Genomic DNA, 20,281 nt, shown 5'->3' with positions numbered 1-20,281 from the left:
GTGTGGCCGTGTCCTAGGTACTGAGATTGTGAAAATCTCCCCTTTCCACAGTCCTTGCCCTCAAGAGCCCATAATCTAGTGGGGGAGATTTTTGTTGTTGTTGTTTTAAAGATGGGGTCTCGCTCTGTCACCCAGGCTGGAATGTACAATCTAGTAGGGGAGATTTTTTTTTTTTTTAAAGAGACTGGGCTGTGTCACCCAGGCTGGAGTGCAGTGGCACGATCTTGGCTCACTGCAACCTCCTGGGTTAAAGCGATTCTTGCTCCTCAGCCTCCCAAGTAGCTGGAATTACAGGCATCCACCACCATGCCTGGCTAATTTTTGTATTTTTAGTAGAGACGGGGTTTTGCCATGTTGGCCAGGCTGGTTTTGAACTTCTGACCTTAGGTGATCCAAAGGTCTCAGCCTCAGCCTCCCAAAGGGTTGGGATTACAGGTGTGAGCCACTGTGCCCGGCCTAGTAGGGGAGATTGACAGGTAACCTTGCAATTAAAATGCAGTGTGTGCCATCAGGGTACAAGTGTGGGACACTGTGCATGCAGAGTTTGAGACATGTACTCCCAGGGGAGGTGACATTTGATCTGGGTCTTGAGAGATGTGTAAAGGCCTGGAGAGCCCTGCGAGCTGCTCAGTGTGTCTGCAGCAGTACTGTCCACTAGAACTCTCTGGTAGAACGGGCAGTTCTGTGTCTGCACTGTCTGATACAGCAGCCCAGGTGGCTGGCAAGCACTTGAAATGTGGCCAGTGCAACCGAGGAGCTGAATTTTCCATTTTATTTCATTTTAATTAATTGCAATTTAAATAGCCACGTGTGTCGTATTGAACAGCACACGTCTGGACCAAGAGCTAGGACTGGAGAAGAAAAGGTTGGGGCCAGCAGTAGAGCCTTGAATGTCACCCTAAGGCTTTGTGCCTTTCTTCCCAGACAATGTGGAAATCTGCAGACTGGCACAATGGGGAGAGTGAGAGGGGGAAGCATTTATACATCTGCCCTTTAGAACAATCACTGCAGCTGCTGTGCAGGGCACTTGGAGCAGCAGGAGAGCTAGAGGCAGGGAGGAGCCTGGGGCCACAGCCCAGAAAAGAAGTGATAAAAACCGAACCAGAGGCAGCACGCATAGAGAGGAGAGAACAAATTCCAGAGCAAACCTAGTGACTGGATTGGTTTGGAGGCGGTAGGAATCAAGGATGACTCTCACTCCGAGGTTTCTGGCTGGGATGGAGTTAGGGGAGGGGTGCACTTCACTGAGATGGGGAATATGGGGAGAGGAGCAAGTTTGGGATCTCCTAACACGATCGCAGCATTCCCCATGATGTAAGTGTCTGTGTCCCTGACTGTCACCCCAACACATGCACACCTCGTGGCATCACGTTTAGGACTCACACCTCATCTCTCCCCATCCTTGACACAGCACCATGTGGGGCCCAAGGTCTCAACACATGTTTGTGGAATGGGCAAATGAGTGTTCTGATTCTCCCGGGATCCAGGAGGAAGGAGCAAGCCCGCTGTCCTTATTCCCTGACTGCAAAATCAGGGAGGAAATGTCCAGGTTTCTCAAGTGCCCTGAGCAATGTGAGGAAGGCAGACTCCAAGGCAGTTTCTCAGAAATCCTGAAGAGCTGCCTGGGTGGCTGGGTCTTCTGTGGACCCATGGGGGCCACCAGGGGGAGAATTGTAGCACTTGGCCCATCTCCTCAACATCTGCCTCTCAGCCACACTGTGTCCCAGGCTGGATAGCCCAAGGCTGTCAGAGGCACCTGAGGAGCGGTCTTTCTACTCTCTTAGGCAAACAAGATTCCTCTGCTCCGAGGACTGTATCCGCTCAAGCTGCACACGAATGTTAGGAATGACTTTCAGCTGTTAGTAACAGAGCCCTGGCTGAAGTAGCTGCAGTCAGATGGGGTGCGTTTCTCTCTCATGTAAGACAAGTCTCTAGGAAAGGACTCCAGGTGGGTGTGCTGCGGCAGGTTGCACTGGCTCCTGAGAGCTGATTGTGTGCATCTCATCCCAATGCCAAGTCCAACTACTACTTCACACTGATGGCTTGAAATCCACTTGAGTGGGAACATTTACACCATGGAAATTGGCACTGTTGGGGATTTAAAAAAAAAAGTTTTTCTCAGACAGCCAGCTTCCTAGCATGTCACTGAGTAAACCGATGGTGTGGCAGCCCCACAGTCATCAGGGACTCGGGCTCCTTCTTCCTTCTACTCTTCTGGTTTCAGCTTGTGACTTTGGTCTTTACAGTTGCCTCATGGCCTGAGATGGCTGCCAGAGTTCCAACAATTGCATCAGCATGGGCTCTCAAAACAAGCAGCTTGTATTTTTCTATCTTACCCCCATTTTCATGGCTGGCTCCTCCTCATCCTTCTGCTGTCACCTCCTCAGAGAAGCCTTCCCTGGCCACCCTACCTAAAGTCCCCTCCATCTCACACTGCTTTATTTTCTCTGCAGGACACACCATATTGGTAACCTCGCTCCTTTATTATTTTCCTTGTTTGTTGTCTGTCTTCCCCACCAGACTAGTCCCTATGATCAGGGACTGTGTCTGTCTTGTCCTTCGCCATAATCCCAGTGCCTCAACAGTGCCTGGTACATAATAGTTGCCCAAGAAATGTTTTTTAAATGAATAATTGATAGTAATCAAAGATAATTTTGTTTCCTGCATTCTTCCATCAGCATGTCATCATGAATATTTTCCCATGTTGCTGCCTAGTCTGTAAAATTAATTGAACTAGACATTTACCAAGGCCCTCCCTGGTCTGACAAGCTGAATGAGTGGGAGGGAGGTGGATGTGAACAGGTAAGTCAGCCTTCCTGGCACTGCTCACAGCCCAGACTGACTTGGGGAACTCAGAGGCCATTTCCAGGAACTTCATTCACGCAGCAAGCGTCATTGAGTCCCATCTCAGTGCCAGGCTGTTGCTGGGTGTGAGGTATATGGAGAGGGAGCAGTAGGAGCCACCCTGGAGGACTTGTGGGCCAATACGGGGACGAAGAAGAGACAGACAGGAGAACAACTGGCGATAATACAATGGGCTAGATTCCCAATGCCTGCAGACAGCTGGACCCTGTGCTAGGGAGCACTCACCTCCACAACCCATTTATCACTTGACAAATAATCACTGAGTCCCTGGGCATAAGGCAGGGAACAAGCCAGACAAGATTCCTACTACTCTCATGAAACTCACATTCTAGTGAGGAGATAAGCAATAAACACACAGTCAAATATATTCAGACAGCAGAAGGCGCAAGGAAGACCGTGAATCCAGATGTGTGACAGGGTATGAGGAGGTGCCACTGTGCGTGGGGCGGTCAGGCAAGACTCTTCAAGGAGGTGGCATCTGAGTTAAATTAATGGTACAAAGGAGTCACCGTGAGAAACTCTGAGAGTGGAGGCCACCAGCCAGAGGGAATAGCCAGGGCATAGTCTGAAGATTGGAACGAGCTCAAGATGGTGGAGGCACAGGAAGAAGGCCACTGGCTGGATGGGAGTGATGGGGGAGGGTGTTGGAGACAGAGGTGGGATCAGAGGGTGCCCCAAACTCAGCAATCAAGATGAATAGTATTTAATGCAATATTTCTTAAATCAAAATTAATGCAAAAAACCCACGATGAACAAAATTCAACATTTCAAACAAGGCCAGGATCACTAACAATGCTCTGCTGAGCCACACTGGAACCTGAGACAAAGGAAAAATCAGTGAGGCTGATTGTGTTTTTATTTAAAATTTTGATATCTTGTGTGTTGTGGATTTGTTGTTATTCATCGCAGGAGTCATCATGGTAGAAAACGTGTCACCTGGCATCAAGATCATGGTCTCCACAACCAGGCTGTCCGGGTTCCAATTCCTTCTTTACCATTATATGTTTATCTGTATGCTATGGGGCCAGTTTCTTGACCTCTCTGTATCTTTTTCTCCATCAGAAGATGGAGATAATAATTGTGCCTCCCTTAGGGTTACTGAGAGGCCCAAATGATTTAATATAAGCAAAGAGCTAAGAACTGTGCCCAGCCCACTGTAGCCCTCGGAGAATGTTGGCAGCTAGTCTGTAGCATTGGACTGGTACAGCTTTGGTTCCTTAGAGCAGTGGTCCCCAACCTTTTTAGCACCAGGGACCAGCTTCATGGAAGACAATTTTTCCACAAACCGCAGGGGGTGGGGGTGGGGTGATGGTTTCAGGATGATTCAAGCACATTACATTTATTGTGCACTTTATTTCTATTATTATTTCATTGTAATATATAATGGAATAATTACACAACTCAACATGATGTAGGATCAGTGGGAGCCCTGAGCTTGTTTTTCCGCAGCTAGACAGTCCCATCTGGGGGTGATGGAAGACAGTGAGTGATCATCAGGCATTAGATTCTCATAAGGAGCAGGCAACCTAGATCCCTCCCATGTGCAGTTCACACTCCTGTGAGAATCTAATGCCACCACTGATCCAACAGGAGGTGGAGTCAGGTGGTAATGCCAGCGATGAGGAGCGGCTGCAAATACAGATGGTTTGCCCCTCCCCACCACTGTTCATCTCCTGCTGTGCGTCCAGGTTCCTAACAAGCTATGGACCAATACCCACCTGTGGCCTGGGGGTTGGAGACCCCTGCCTTAATTCTAAGCGGGGATCCAGGGCCAAGTGTGGGGAGCCAGAGAGTGTGTATGTGGAAGTCGATTGTCACAGAAGCCTCTAGGGTGGCCAAAGAGGAGGAGGTTGTTGCAAAGATGCAGGTGAAAGATACGGACGGGTTCTGGAGGTGTTTAGGAGACAGACTCTACAGGACTTGCTGGTGGTTGAACTGTGACGGGAGGCAAGTGTTGGAGGTTGGGGACAGAGACCAGGCTAACCCCCAGCGCCTGGCAGTGGTCAGGGCTGAATGCCTGGGCCAGGCATGGCCCCTGCCCCCATCCCGGCCCTGTGTGTGTTTCAGAGGGAGCTGAAGGACCAACTTCAGGCCCTTCAAGACAGCGAGCGGGAACACACCGAAGCGCTGCAGCTGCTCAAGCGACAACTGGCGGAGACCAAGGTGAGCCTGGCCGGGGCGCGGAGGTGGGGCCGGCAGAGATGAGGGCAGGGCTTCGAGGGGCGGGGCCAGCTGGGGAAGAGGGGCGGGGCCTCGGGTGTGCGGTGGAAACCTGGCTTCAAGGAGCCAAACCTGGAGTGAGAAGGGCAGGGTGGGGAAGAGGGTAGGGCATCCGTGAAGTTCAATGGGGCGGCACCCACCCCATCATGACTGGCGGCAAGGATGTGGGCTGGTCCCTCGGTTAAGGACGGGGCCATTTCTCCCTTCCCACTTTGGGTGGAAGTTGAGGCGGGTCCCGGGACCCTCCGGAAACCCCCTGCCTCCTGAAGGGCTGGGGAATGTGCTCAGTCTCTTTCTCCTCTCCCCTTATTAAAACCGCCCAACCCTGGTGTTGTGACACACACTTGTAGTCCCAGTCTCTTCAGAGGCCGAGGCAAGATGATGGCTTGAGCCCAGGAGTTTGAGACCAGCCTGGCCAATATAACGAGATGCCTTCTCTACAAAAAAAAAAAAAAAAATTGAATATAGCCAGGCGTAGTGGCACATGCCTGTAGTCCCAGCTACTCTGGAGACTGAGACAGATGGGAAGATTGCCTGAGCCCAGGAGTTTGAGGCTGCAGTAGGCCATGATCATGCCACTGCACTCCAGCCTGGGTGACAGAGTGATACCCTGTCTCTAAAATGAATGAATGAATGAATGAATGAATAAGCCCATTGCCTAGGAGTCAATCCTGAGCATGTCCCCTCGAAGCCCTCCAGAGGTGGCCCAGCCCTGGTATCATCTCCCCTTAAGCTCAGGCCATGGGATACAGACTCTGAAAGGTAGGGCCAAACTCTGCAGTCTCTGGCTACCGTGGTTTGGGAAACAAACAAACAAACAAACAAACAGACTTTTCCACTGACTTGAGAAGGACATGGGTTCTGATCCCACCACTAACTCACTGTGTGACTTTGGGTAAATTGCATGCTTTCCTGGGTCCCCAGCCTTCCCATCTGTCCAGTGGGGACTGCCAGGCTCAGTCCAGCACTCTGGGACTGGAAGGTGCCGGGTGGAGTCCCCACTATACAGAGTGACTCTGTGTCGTGAGGCCTGGGGTGATTTCAGGCTGACCCCGCTCTGTCAGCAGGAGCTGCGGCAGAGCCTTAGGAATGCGCTGGGCCTCTGGAGGTCATCCTGGGGCCTGAAGACACCATTGGAAACCCAGATCTATGCCCCAGCTTGGCCACCAACCCACTGTGGGGTCTCAGGAAGGTCATGACAAACAATTCTTCACAGAACATTCCAGAGTGCCTCTGGGCAGGACCCTCGGGGGCAACAGATGATAAACAGTCACAGGATGCTGGCCTCATTGCTTCTTGCAGCCTCAGTTTCCCCAACTGTCTGGTGATTCTGTACCTCTTGGATGATGAGAAGCAAATGGAAGCCTCTCTCTGTATGAGAGCGGAGTATTATGGGCTGTTCCTTCTCCCCAGCAGCACTCTCTTCTCTCCACATCCCACACCCTCTTTGTTTTTCTCCACTGACCTCTTCCTCCCCCGCTTTCCTGTCCATCTGTCTGCCTCTGGGGGGTCCTGTGGGGCCACATCCCCCTCGAGTTCCCCCAGCCCCACTTCCTGTCTGGACTGGGGTGTTTATACAAGAAATGCCTATGGATGCTTTGGAGGTCATATTTCACCTGGTGCCTGACTCGGCTTTCCTGCTGCGCCTGCCCCTCCAATGGCCTGGCCTGAGGGCCTGTCTGATCTCCCTCCTCAGGCCCTCTGTTTTCCTTGGTCGGCGCCCTGGCGGGGTGATGCATTCTTGGCAGGGTGTTTTTCTGAAAGGGCCCCAGCACCTCCAGGCCCTAGGGTGTTCCAAGGGATGTGGTGGGTTGGGGTGGGGGCTGTTTCCCCAGCCACAGAGCTGAAAGGAGGGGGTTGGGGAAAGGGTGACTCTGCCCTGGAAAGAACTAGAATAAATGGGGTGCACCAGTTGAGCAGAACTTTTCTCTGTGCTGAGAATTGTGTTCCTCTTCATTATCCTGCCAACCTCACAGAATGTCACCTCCACGAGAGCAGGATTCCCTAAAACCTAGCACAGTGTCTGGCACACAATAAGTAGTTATAAAAAAAGTGATTGAAAGGAAAAAAAAATCGGCCAGGCACAGTGGCTCACGCCTGTAATCCTAGCACTTTGGGAGGCTGAGGCGGGCGGATCACCTGAGGTCAGGAGTTCAAGACCAGCCTGGCCAATATGGTGAAACCCCGTCTCTACTAAAAATACAAAAACTAGCTGGGCATGGTGGTGGGTGCCTGTAATCCCAGCTACTCAAGAGGCTGAGGCAGGAGAATTGCTTGAACCCAGGAGGTGGAGGTTGTAGTGAGCCAATATCGAGCCACTGCACCCCAGCCTGGGCAACAAGAGTGAGACTCCATCTCAAAAAAATAAAAAACAACAAAAACAAAAACCAAAAAAACAGGAAAGAAAAAAAATCGTCCCAGGTAGGAACTGTTGTTATCTCAATCTTATCAGTGAGGCAACTGAGGCACAGAGAGGTTGAGGGACCAACCTGAAGTCCCACAGCTAGAAAATGGCAACTTGGGAGCTTACCATCCAGTCCTGTCAGAGCCCAGTGCATAGTGCAGCTGGGATGTCTCCTGGGGTGTCCTGCAAGAGCTATGGCTTTGTAGTCAGCAAGCCAGGTAGGTCAGTAGGACTCATCGGGAATGTACTTGGGGCTCCAGGGGTGGCTGTCACTCTGATGTTCCACTGCTGGCTGCCCTGTCCCTGCCTTCCCCCCTTTCCCTCCCATCCTCTCTCGTCCTTGAGACATTGAAACCCCAGCCTGGAAAGAAGCTGGAGCCTGCACCCAGCTCTACGGAGCAATCTCAGACAAGACTCTTCCCTCCTTCACCCCTCAAGCAACTCCTGATTGCCAGCCTTGTACCAGGCTCTGGGATGGGCACAGGGGTGCAGAGCCGAGGGAGATGTCATTCCTACCCAGCAGGGGCCCACTTACTAGCCAGGGAGACAGAAAATGTGGGACAATGTATTAAGACTGTTGACAAAAGGCTCTGGGAACATCCAAGTGCCTGAAAGAGAGGAAAGTTATCTCTGAAGAGGTCACTTTCAAGCTAGGTCTTGCAGGATGAGTAGGAGTTTGCCAGTTGAATACAGGGTTTGGGTAGGGTCATTCTAGGCAGGTGGAGTTGCAATGCAGTGGCGCTAGGGAGGTAAGCTAGGGTTAAATTGAGAAGGTCCTTGAATGCCAGACTAAAGAGTTCAGCATTTTACTATGTGTCAAGGAGCTAAAGAAGGTTCCTAAACTCAGGATCATCTGTGATTCAGTTGGCACTTTAGAAGGATCACTCTGACAGTGAGTTTGCTGGCAAAGACAAGAGTTGACTTGTAGACCAAGTGAGTTGGAAAGACCTGTGGGACCCCAGAGGGATGTGTTGGGGAGACTGTTGGAAAAATGGGTGTGGCACTCAGGAGACAGGCAAGGCCATCTATATGGACTTGGGAACCATCCTTAAAGCAGTTCAAGTTGAAAATGGGGGCAGGTGTTCAGGGTGAGGATGGAAGGCGCTGACCTGGATGAGCCCCGAGGAACATGGGAGGCAGAGAGGCAGCAGTCACAGAGATGGGAGGCAAAGCAGAACTTTCAACTAGGAGAGGGTGGCGAGTGGGCTAAGTGCTGCAGAGTGGTCTAGGAGGAGCCAGAGGAGTAGCTGCGGAGTCTGGGCGCCTGTGGAGGGCAGCTCCAGGTGGTGCAGGGACGACGGACCCCATCTTCCCCATCAGCAACATGCCGCTGCAGAGGCCTCCACCCTCCCCGGGTGAGGGGGCTCAGGAAGGCCACGGCAGCCTGGCCGTGCATCCCCAGACTCTCGTCCGCCCCCCTTTGTCTGCCTGGCGTTCTGGGTGGGCATGCGCAGCGAGGCTGGCCCACCGCCAGCAGTTCTTCCTGCAGGCCAGCAGCCGCGCGTCGGGGAGGGAACAGGCCCTAATTGAGCCTTTGTAGAGCCTCCCACAGAGCCCTGGGCACTGAACACAGTGGGGTTTCTGACTCCATGAACTCCCAGCCAGAATCCCACAAAGTAAAATTGCAGAGGCAGGCCCCACATGCTGCTGCAGCCTGGCCGCACTTCTATAGCCCGTGTCGTCCTGACGTTAAGCCCTTCCTCATGCGGCTCCCTCTGCCTGTTCCCCTGACCCCCAACTGACATCCTGCCCATCCCTCAGGCCCCGGCTCAGAACCCGTCTCTCAATGAAGACTTCCGGGAAACGCTTATTAGAATTGCAGTCTTCAATAACCAGGCTCTTTCTCTGCGCCTTGGAGTGCGCACAACAACACCCCCTCATTTCATCTTCACCACAATCCTACAATGCAGTTTTTGTTACTCCTTTCACAGATAAGAAAACTAAGGTTCACAGCTCTTAGGCAACTGACGTTGCCATAGCTAGAGACCCAGAGCTAGAGTCCTTACGCAGACTGTCAGGCACCAAACCTGTGCCCTTCACTACTTCACCCTTCCTGAGCCTCACAGTGCCCTTGGGGGCAGAGAAAACCATGAAAGTTCATGCTTACCTCCCTGATCCTGTCTATAAACACCAGTCCTTGCTCCTTAGCCAGAGGGTCCTAGAGGTAACAGGAGACAGCGAGTAACCACCAAGGTTTTCTCAATACGTTGCAATTTACAAAGCTCTTTGATGTCTGTGATCTTGTCATCTTTCCTTGAGCCCCCTGAATGAGCCCCATGAATGATTTTTTTAAAATAAAGACTTCAGCCGGGCACGATGGCTCACGCCTGTAATCCCAGCACTTTGGGAGGCCAAGGTGGGCAGATCACCTAACGTCAGGTGTTTGAGACCAGCCTGGCCAACATGGTGAAACCCCATCTCTACTAAAAATACAAAAATTATCCGGGCATAGTGGCGGGCTCCTGTAATCCCAGCTACTAGGGAGGCTGAGGCTGGAGAATCGCCTGAACCCAGGAGGTGGAGGTTGCAATGATCCGAGATCGTGCCATCACACTCCAGCCTGGGTGACAGGAGCAAAACTCCATCTCAAAAAACTAATAATAATAAAAGCAAAAAAAATAAAGACTTCACTATGTCCTTGAGAGAACATCTTCACCCTGTCCCCTAGCCCTCACTCCAGCTCCCTCATCCCTCCTACCCCCAAGCCAGAAACCTGGGCATTATCCCCAGCTCCTTTCTCTTCTGTACCCCTCTAGCCAACACAGCAGGGTCAAAGAGGCTGCCCTCTAGATGTTTCTCAAACCGTGTTCCTCACCATTGCTGCTGCTCCTCTAGTTCAGGCCTCATTTTCTCACCTGGGCCATTTCATTAGCTATTTAATGGACCACATAGAACATGCCCATCCTTTCCTACCACCATGCTTTTGCATGTGACATTTCCCCCACCACGCGTGCCCTTTCCCACCCTTTCCTCTCTGTGTGTCAAGGCTCTCGATTTCCTCCTCTCACCCAGAGATCACCCCATCTGCTCCCCCAGCCATAACCCCTGACGACTGTCCCCCACAGTCTTCCACCAAGAGCCTGCGGACCACTATCGGCGAGGCCTTCGAGCGGCTGCACCGGCTGCTGCGTGAACGCCAGAAGGCCATGCTAGAGGAGCTGGAGGCGGACACGGCCCGCACGCTGACCGACATCGAGCAGAAAGTCCAGCGCTACAGCCAGCAGCTGCGCAAGGTCCAGGAGGGAGCCCAGATCCTGCAGGAGCGGCTGGCTGAAACCGACCGGCACACCTTCCTGGCTGGGGTGGCCTCACTGTCCGAGCGGTAAGTGCCACCCGCCGGGGCCCTCCCCGGCTGACCATCCCCTCCTCGACCCATGCTGGGCAGTGGGAGTGGAGGCAGATGGGATCCTTAGCAGAGAATTCTTTCATTCAAATCTTCATCAAACATTTACGGGACATCTGCTATGGGTAGGAGCATGAAGCCTTGAGTATGAAGCCAGTGAGGCTTGAACTAGAGGAGCAGCAGCAATGGTGAGGAACACAGTTTGAAAACCATCTAGAGGGCAGCCACTTTGACCCTGCTGTCTTGGCTCTAGGGGTGCAGGAGAGAAAGGATCTGGGAATAAAGACTTCATATATTTACATTATTATATATGTAATATATTCTGTATACATTATAGATAGTAGGTAGCATTTAATAGTGTTTACAATCATAATATAAATATATTACATATTATTTTATTTATGATAATGTTGGCATTACGTGTTACTATATAAAGGCTTTATATTACTGTAACCCTCTCAGTCCCTTTGAAAGTAGTTACCACTGTCATCATCATTTCATGCATGTAGAAACTGAGGCTCCTGCTGGGCACGGTGGCTCACACCTGTAATCCCAGCACTTTGGGAGGCCGAGGCAGGTGGATTACCTGAGGTCAGGAGTTCAGGACCAGCCTGACTAACATGGTGAAACCCCGTCTCTACTAAAAAAAAATACAAAAATTAGCCGGGCGTGGTGGCAGGCACCTGTAGTCCCAGCTATTCAGGAGGCTGAGGCAGGAGAATTGCTTGAACCCAGGAGGCAGAGGTTGCAGTGAGCTGAGATCGCGCCATTGCACTTCAGCCTGGGCAATAAGAGCGAAACTCTGTCTCAAAAAAAAAAAGAAAAAAAAGAAAAAAACTGAGGCTCTGAAAAGCTACATCAGTTGGCCAAGGCCCCCCATCTGGTAACTGGTAAGCCAGGATTCAAGCCTAGGTCTCTGTGACCCCAAATCTTCCCTTAGTAGTAATAACACTTAGTCATTGGTTTGTTGGTGATCAATACTGATTGCTAAGATCATGAATTTGGCATTGACCGTGACCGAGCACTGTGCTGAGCATCTGTATATGTTATGCCATGTAATTCTCACAAAAAGCCTAGAAGGCTGATGCTAGCATAGCACCCATTTTAAAGATGAGAAGACTGAGGGAATGGTTAGAGAGGCCAGAAGCAGCACAAGCAGGCACTTGAATCTGAGTCCCACAGACTTCTCACTCATGACCACATCCTATGCCAGCTGCCCTGAAGGTGGCTGCGGGGCCCCTGGCATTGGGGCAGGAATCCAGTCCCTGGTGCAGCCCCCTTTCCTGCTCTCCTTCCAGGCTCAAGGGAAAAATCCATGAGACCAACCTCACATATGAAGACTTCCCGACCTCCAAGTACACAGGCCCCCTGCAGTACACCATCTGGAAGTCCCTGTTCCAGGACATCCACCCAGGTAAGGCATGGGTTATCATGGTCCAGAGCTAGGTGGGGCATGTCCCAGCACAGCCCAGCCCCCTGTCCTAAACACAGCATGGGGCAGTTGGGGTGAATGAGCAGAGTGCCTTGCTGAGCACCTAGTGTGTTCCAGGACCTGTCCTGGGCACCTGCACAATCACTCAGCTCAGTGGACCTTCATAACACCCCAGGAGATGGCTGGGCGTGGTGGCTCACACCTGTAATCCCAGCACTTTGGGAGGCTGAGGTGGGTGGATCATGAGGTCAGGAGTTCGAGACCAGCCTGGTCAACATGGTGAAACCCTGTCTCTATTAAAAATACAAAAATTAGCTGGGCATGGTGGCGTGCACCTGTAATCCCAGCTACTCGAGAGGCTGAGGCAGGAGAATTGCTTGAACCCAGGAGGCAGAGGTTGCAGTGAGCTGAGACTGAGCCACTGCACTCCAGCCTGGGCAACAGAGCAAGACTCCATCTCGGAAAAAAAGGAAGAAAAAAAAAAAACATGAGATAGGTTCCATTAGCAAACCCATTCTCCAGATGAAATGACTGAGGCCTGGACACTTCATAGACTCCTTCTATACAACAGGGTACATAAGAGTTCACATCAGGAACTGTTCTAGGTGCTGGAGATACCATAGTAAGCAAAACAGGCAAAAATCCCTGCCCTCACGCATCTTACATCCTAGGGTGTGAGATAGAAAGTAGACAAAAGTAAATCAGAAAAATACAGAGCATATTAGATACTGACAAAGAATAAGGAAGGGGGCTGGGAAAGGTGAGACAGGATGGAGATTTTAGACAGGTGGTCCAGGAACCAGCCCGCACTGAGAAGGAAGCATTAGAGTCAAGGGCTGAAGAAGAGTGAGCCACGTAGGTATCTGGAGGAAGAGTGCTCCTGGCATGGGGACAGCAAGTGCAAAGGACCTGAGGCAGGAGCACATCTCACTCTCACCAGTCTCCCTCTGTTTCCCAGGCAGGAAGAGCAAGGAGGTTAACGTGGCTGGAGGGAGATGAGTGAGAAGGAGGGTCAAGGTGAAGAGACTGAGAAGGTAGCAGTGGCCAGACACCACGAGGGTCTGTAGGCCATTGTGAGAACTTTGGATTTTATGCTGAGTGAGATGAGAGCCAGTGGAGGGCTTGGAGCCATGAAGTGACGTGAACTGGTTTAAGTTTTTTAAGGATCCCTTTGGCTAGTGGGTTGAGAATAGACCGAAGGGGGTGAAGGATGGGGGCTGGGAAATGGGTTAGGAGACCACTGCATAATCCAGGCAAGAGGTGATGTGGGCGTGAAGCAGGGTGGTGGTAGTGGAGGGGGTGGGAAGGGGTGGGATTTAGGACATATTTTGTAAGGACAGCCAACAGGATTTGCTAGCGGATTAGCAAATCCAGGTGTGAAAGAAAGAAGACGAGGGAGATAGTAATTATTTCAGCCAAAGTGACTAAAAGGATGAAGTTGTAAGCCTGTAAGGTTTGTGATGCCAATTAGTTATCTCAGCACTGATGCTGAAAAGGCAGTAGGGATGACAAGCCAGCAATACAAAAGGAAGGTCAGCACCAGCATCATTAGCATATGGACAGCTTTTAATGAGCCTGGACAAGATCACCTAGGAAGTGGGGGCGGATAGAAAAGACAGAGGGCTGCCCTAACATCAGGAGCCCCGGAACACTCCTAGAAGTCAGGGACAAGAGGGGGACCCAGCCAAGGAGACCGAGAAGGAGCAGTCAGAGGGATAGGAGGGCAACCCAGGTATGTCCTGGAAGCCTGGAGGAAGCATTTCCAGGAGAGAGTGGCTAACAGTGACAAAGGCTGCTGAGCCAAGCATGGGAGAACCCAGAAGAGACTATTCTCCAGATTTAGCAACAGGGAAGTCATTGGTGGCCTTGATGAGAGCTGGTTGGGTGGAGCAGTAGGGGCCAAAGCCTGGTTGGAGCTGGTCCAAGAGAGGTGGAGGCAATGCTTTAAAGGAGTTTTCAAGCGAAGGAGAGAGAGTGTGGCAGTGCTGTTTTTTATGATAGAAGAAATACAGCATATCTGTGAGATGATTGGAAAGATCCAGTAGAGGGGACAGAATTAAGGATGTAGGAGAGGAAGTTGCAGGAGTGACAGTCTTGACTGCAGCCCAGCCTTGACTGCGATCTGCTGCATGGCTGAGAGCCAGCTTCTGCTGGGAGCCCAGACAGTTCATCTTCAGGAGCCCAGAGAAAGTAGAATAAGTGGGCACCAAAGCCAGTGGGGCAGTGGTGGGCGCTTGGGGGATTCTCTTCTGATGGCTTCACCTTTCTCAGTAAAGCAGGAAGCAAGATCATCAGCGGAGATGGGAGCAAGGGATGAGAGGTTTGCAGATAGAGAAGAAGGTCTGAAACAGGTTTCTAGTAGACTTATCAGGTGTTGGGACTGGGAAATCAGTGCCTTCCCAAAATCACAGATCCCCCCCAAGGGCAGATTCAAACTGACTGGCAGCAGAGAACCCTGTGTGTTCCTGAGTCAGGCACGATGTCCTTTAGAGGAGAGACCTGGATAGAGAAGTGAATTCTCCCTGAGAAGTGGGAAGTGTTATTATCCTCATTTTTTCAGAATAAGTAACGGAGGCACAGAGCTGTTAGGAACTTGTCCTTGGTCACGACTTGGAAATGCTACAGCCAGGACTTAAACCCCAACGTCGGGCCCCAGAGCCTGTGCCCTTCCTTACCTACTAAGCTCACTGGCCATTCTCTGACCTCACACACACCAGGAAGGAGGCTGGGGAGACCAAGGCTCAGGGAGACTCACTGACTCCCTCAGGTCACACAGGGGTCAGAGTTTCTTCCATCTGGCTGGATTCATTCTTCTGTTCCACAAACATCAAAAGTCCCTCAAGGCACGTTCAAGAGTCAGGGGAGGCCGGGCATGGTGGCTCATGCCTGTAATTCCAGCACTTTGGGAGGCAAGGCAGGCGGATCACTTGAGGTCAGGAGTTCGAGACCAGCCTGGCCAACATGGTGAAACCCCGTCTCTACTAAAAATACAAAAATTAGCCAGGCATGGTGGTACACGCCTGTAATCCCAATTACTCGGGAGGCTGAGGTGGGAGAATGGCTTGAACCCAGGCGGTGAAGGCTGCAATGAGCCGAGATCGCGCCACTGCACTACAGCCTGGGCGACAGAGCGAGACCTTTTGAGATGGAGTCTCGCTCTGTCGCCCAGGCTGGAGTGCAGTGGCGCGATCTCGGCTCACTGCAAGGTCTGCCTCCCGGGTTCACGCCATTCTCCCGCCTCAGCCTCCCGAGTAGCTGGGACTGCAGGCACCTGCCAAGACGCCTGGCTAATTTTTTGTATTTTTAGTAGAGACGGGGTTTCACCGTGTTAGCCAGGATGGTCTCGATCTCCTGACCTCATGTTCTGCCCGTCTTGGCCTCCCAAAGTGCTGGGATTACAGGCGTGAATCACCGCGCCTGGCCACTTTTTTTTTTTGGATACGGAGTTTCGCTCTGTCAACCAGGCTGGAGTGCAGTGGCGTGATCTCGGCTCACTGCAACCTCTGCCTCCTGGGTTCAGGCGATTTTCCTGCCTCGGCCTCCCAAGTAGCTGGGATTACAGGCACACGCCACTGCACCCAGCTAATTTTTGTATTTTTAGTAGAGACGGTGTTTCACCATGTTGGCCAGGGTGGTCTTGAACTCCTGACCTCGTGATCCGCCCACCTTGGCCTCCCAAAGTGCTAGGATTACAGGCGTGAGCCACCGCGCCCAGCCTCAAAAAAAACAAATTTAATTAAGAAAAAAAAAAGATCTAAAGATGGTTCCATATAGCTGAGCAAGATAATGGAAGAGAGAATGAGAAGCTGGCAGGCCCCAGATCCTACAGGGCCTTGAATGCCAGGCTGAGGTGCCTGGACTGCCTCTCCGAGCTGTGACAGACATGGAGCAGGTGGCAGCTGAGGCTAGAAGGCTCCCCAGGCTCCCTGCTCCAGGGCTGTCCTGGGTCAGTGACTGGGGAGGGAATCGGAGCCTTGGATGCACTTTTGCCTCCCAGAACTTAGTCTCAGCCTCCCAAAGTGCTGGCATTACAGGCGTGAGCCACCACACCCGGCCCATCTTTAGATCTTAAATGAGCCATATTCTCCCTCATCTACATGTTTTGTATTCTCCCTCATCTACACGTTTGCACATGCCATTCCCTTCGGCTGCAGCCCTCTACACAATCCTTAGTCTTTGATGGCCAACTCTTACTCTCCTTGGCATCTTAGTTTATAAAACCTTCCTCTGAGAAGCCTTCCTGGATTTCTCAAGGCAACCTGGGCTTACATGGTCTCACTGTTTTGTCATTGTCTGTGTGGCTGTCTCACTCACTAGACTGTGAACTGTGAGGGTCAGGGGCCAGGTCTGATTCACTCCCAGCAGCTAGCACAGCAAATGTTTGTCGATAAATGCATAACAAAATGAATGGATCCTAGTCTCAGTTCTGTTTCTAGAATAGCGCCTCAATAAAATAGGTGCTTAGTAAGTATTTGCTGACTGAAGAAACTTGCTGCACAGCCTTGAACAAGTCACTGCCTCCTCTGAACTTCAGTTTCTTCCTCTGAAATAGGGATGCTAGTGTTCCCTTCTCAACTCCCTCATAAGGGAGCAAAGGGATGTGGAACTTGCCATCACCCCAGTGCAGGGTTTCTCAACCACAGCCCCATTGACACTGGAGGCTGGACCATTCCTTGTTGCAGGGCCCCGCTCTGTGCTCTGCAGGATGTTTAGTGGCATCCCTGGCCTCTATCCATTAGATGCCAGTAGCCAGTAGCCACCCCACTCAGTTGTAACAACCAAAAATGTCTCTGGACTTTGCCAGATGTCCCTGGGAAGCAAAATTGGCCCAGTTGAGAACCACTGCTCTAGAGAAAGCTGCCTGCCAGAGAGGAGCTGAGGGAGGAACAGACTGTGCTCCAACATCCTGCCCAGAGCAGAGGCCCCTGGGGAGTTCAGAGAGCAGCAGCCTGGTTGGCTGGGCCCCTTTCTTTGTCTGTGGGGCCTGTGAAGTCAGTCTGGCTCCTCTGCCAGCACCAAAGCCCTTTATGTCCAGATGGGAGGGGTGCCCCCAGGGACCTAGCCCATGGATTCTAGCAGCTTCCTGCCTGCCCCTCCCCTCCAGCTCAGGCTTCCTATTGGGTCACCTGAGAACCCCATCCAGCACCTGTCACTCCCCTGCTCTGGCACTTCCACCCTCCCCCACCTCCCACCCCTCTATCCCACCCCCAGCCTAACATTAGGAAGCTCTCCTCCAACTGTGACCTTCTTACCTACCTGGTCTAAATCCCCCAACTCCCAGGCACAAACTGCCTCCTCAGCCAGGCCAGGCAGCCCATTGTCCCAAGGACACCAGGAGCAGCCTGCCTTGCTCCTGCCTTCTCCCCATCCTGGGCTGCTCTCCCCGCCCCCTGCTAATCTGAATCCAGTCATTTTGAGTCCCGGCACATTCCTTGCCTAGCTGTGTGACCCAGAGCAATGCACTCCCCTCTCAGAGCCCCAGTTTCCTCATCTGTAAAACAAGGATAGTTGCATTTCTCTCCCAGGGTAGCTATGCAGATTAAATTATTTGTTTGTAATAATGATCCTGTAACACTTAGTAAGTACTTGATTCCTGTCTGTTTATTGTTATTATCATCATGAATCGACAGATGGTCCCCAGTCTTTTTTTTTTTTTTTTTTCTTTTTGAGACGGAGTTTCACTCTTGTTGCCCAGGCTGGAGTGCAATGGCACAATCTTGGCTCACCACAACCTCCGCCTCCCAGATTCAAGCGATTCTCCTGCCTCAGCCTCCCAAGTAGCTGGGATTACAGGCATGTGCCACCATGCGCCGCTAATTTTTTGTATTTTTAGTAGAGACAGGGTTTCTACATGTTGGCCAGGCTGATCTCGAACTCCGGACCTCAGGTGATCCGCCTGCCTCGGCCTCCCAAAGTGCTGGAATTACGGGCGTGAGCCACCAAGCCCAGCCTCCCCAGTCTTGCTGAACAGGCTTTCTGGGGCCACATGCTGGGAAGAGCATGATGTGAAAAGACCTCAGCTGAAGTTCCAACTCTGCTTCCTCTCCAAGTGGCAGCTTGAGCAAGCCACTTACCTCAGAGTTGTCTCCTTGGAGCCTCAGTCTCCTCTTCTGAAAAATGGCTAGAACAATTTGTGCCCCTGGGTCTGTCGTGGTGCTCCCATGAGCTAGTGAGTGTGAGAATGTTTTTGCACATGTCTGCCCTGTACATCTGAGGGACTGAGGAACCTGGTTTTTTAAAGGCCTGGCCAGAGGAAAACGCTTACAGCCAGCCTTTCATGTTCTGTCAGGCCTCTGCATGTTCGAAGCCTCTGTTCTTGAGAACAAAGAAACACAATCCACTCACTGCCAAGCAGCTGTGCTGGGCTGTGCCCCGGGAGGGCTTTCTCCGCTGCTTGGGCAGAATGTGATTGCTCAGTGGTGGCCGGGAAACATCTCCTGGGACCTCCACAGTCCATGATCCTTCCTGAATGCCTTTGACCTCAAGGTCTCAGAGATGCTTAAATGAATGGACAACACACCTGGAGACCAGACGGGCTGCCTCAGTGTCTGGCTTGTTTTTATAAATCTTGGTGTCCCGGGACTTAGAAATGAGCTCTGACCTGTAGAATAGTGAGCCCCCAGGGACTGCGCTTGTTTTGCTGGGCCTGTCACCTCCTGGGGATGAGGGACAGATGGAGGAACTGACTTCTCAGAGGGGGAAGGGGTGTTGCCATGCCCCTTCTAGGTCCCTTTCTGGTCTGAAGGTTGTTACTCCTGTTAGCCCTAGCCTCGGGGAGGGAGCCCCAGGAGCCAAGACCCTGTGTTAATGATTCGTGCAAGGCCTTGGAGGTGGCTTCAGCCAGGGTGCCACACCCTGCCCCAGCCTCACCCCTTGGGGTATAGAAGTCTCCTAAGAGTCAGGCCACACCCCCGCCTAAGAGAGTGGCAGGCCCTGCCCCTAGGCCGGCCCAGTGAGTGGCAGGCCCTGTACCCATCCTGTCCCCTGGGCTTCAAGCAGCACAGGTCCGCTCGCCAGGGCTGGCATTCACTGGGTCAGGATTTCCTCCAATCTGCAGGCTTATCTTTGTCTACTGGTCTCAGACCCACGGAGAGCCCCCTTGTCTCCCTCCTAGGGTGCCCTCCCACTCATCAGTGGCACCACAAGTGGCTCACATTGTCCTACATAAGCTACAAGTCTGAAGCTGAGCCCTTATACCTGCTTGAGGGTACCCCCCGCCCCGCACCAGTCCTTCTGCCCTGAGCCTCGGTTGCTGCCTGTTGCTGGTCTCAAATCACCCAGGCGCCTTAGATATCATGCCTAGGTTCCCCCAGCACTCTGAACTGCTGCTGTTCATGCCTGGGCACTGTGCATCGCTCTTCTGCCCCTCCACTGTCACACCTGAGTGTGATCCACATCCCACTGTCATAGGGGTGGCCCACCTATGTCTGATTAGGTTCCTCTTCTCAATCTAGCTCTTCCCCCTACCACACACTCCTCCTACAGCTCCCTCCCACTCCCACCTCCCGACCCCACTGTGGGAATTGCCCACATTCCACCAGGCAGGGGCCCCCTGGTTCTGACAAGCTGCCTGTGGCCAGTCAGACCACAGGGTGAAACATCCAGCCACCAACTCAGTGGCCGTCCTCTCTTGGTTCCCCGTCTTCTATGTCCCTGGACAGAGGATTGTGTTTCCATTGACCCCTCTATTCACAAGGCTAATTACTTCCATACAGCCCTCTAAGTCCAAAGGACAGAAACAAAGAGGGTAAAATGCAAAACTAAACTTACTCCTGGCAAAGATCATGGAAGGAACTTGATATAGGTCACTGGTCCAGTGGGTATATGAACAGAGGCACAGTTCAGGGACTGGCTGTAGCTCCCTGTTGGGGACAGTCCCCATCATTGAGGCATCTTATTTCTGCACATCAGTGCAGCCAACAGAGGCAACTGAAGTAGGGAGAATGCTCCAGCCAAGCATAACCATGTCCCCACTTCGCCAGTAAAGGAAAGAGCCAGAGAGCTGGATGTCCAAGAC

General features: G+C 52.1%; 3 protein-coding genes across 5 annotated transcripts in view, besides 2 other annotated features; 1 reads left to right on the top strand and 2 right to left on the bottom strand.

Annotated features, from left to right (window-relative positions):
- Positions 1 to 20,281, bottom strand: part of ZNF362 (zinc finger protein 362) — a 173,198-nt gene that overhangs the window by 130,221 nt on the left and 22,696 nt on the right. The gene's annotated exons all lie outside the window — the stretch shown is intronic.
- TRIM62 (tripartite motif containing 62) overlaps positions 1 to 20,281 on the top strand; it is a 36,645-nt gene that overhangs the window by 11,545 nt on the left and 4,819 nt on the right. For both annotated transcript variants that reach the window (NM_018207.3, NM_001330483.2), the window contains exons 2-4: positions 4,933 to 5,028; positions 10,555 to 10,811; positions 12,131 to 12,246. In NM_018207.3, coding sequence (NP_060677.2) covers positions 4,933 to 5,028; positions 10,555 to 10,811; positions 12,131 to 12,246 — 469 coding nt within the window. The remainder of the gene's footprint in view (positions 1 to 4,932; positions 5,029 to 10,554; positions 10,812 to 12,130; positions 12,247 to 20,281) is intronic.
- Positions 3,704 to 20,281, bottom strand: part of AZIN2 (antizyme inhibitor 2) — an 85,643-nt gene continuing 69,065 nt past the window's right edge. The window contains exon 10 of one of the 2 annotated variants that reach the window (XM_047443457.1): positions 3,704 to 9,647. In XM_047443457.1, coding sequence (XP_047299413.1) covers positions 9,534 to 9,647 — 114 coding nt within the window. In that variant the 3' untranslated portion in view covers positions 3,704 to 9,533. The remainder of the gene's footprint in view (positions 9,648 to 20,281) is intronic. The other variant, XM_017000174.2, reaches the window with a different exon arrangement.
- Positions 5,855 to 6,587: an enhancer, noted in NCBI's record as "H3K27ac-H3K4me1 hESC enhancer chr1:33629513-33630245 (GRCh37/hg19 assembly coordinates)". NCBI's record gives its function as "activates a minimal SCP1, AML or CMV promoter by ChIP-STARR-seq in primed H9 embryonic stem cells {active_cell/tissue: H9 hESC(primed)}" and the evidence as "EXISTENCE:reporter gene assay evidence [ECO:0000049][PMID:30033119]".
- Positions 6,588 to 7,320: an enhancer, noted in NCBI's record as "H3K4me1 hESC enhancer chr1:33628780-33629512 (GRCh37/hg19 assembly coordinates)". NCBI's record gives its function as "activates a minimal SCP1, AML or CMV promoter by ChIP-STARR-seq in primed H9 embryonic stem cells {active_cell/tissue: H9 hESC(primed)}" and the evidence as "EXISTENCE:reporter gene assay evidence [ECO:0000049][PMID:30033119]".

This window comes from Homo sapiens, chromosome 1, assembly GCF_000001405.40.
Source record: "Homo sapiens chromosome 1, GRCh38.p14 Primary Assembly".
Classification (NCBI taxonomy): domain Eukaryota; kingdom Metazoa; phylum Chordata; class Mammalia; order Primates; family Hominidae; genus Homo; species Homo sapiens.
The sequence above is the reverse complement of the archived record's forward strand: the minus strand, read 5'-3'. Positions and strand labels throughout refer to the sequence as shown.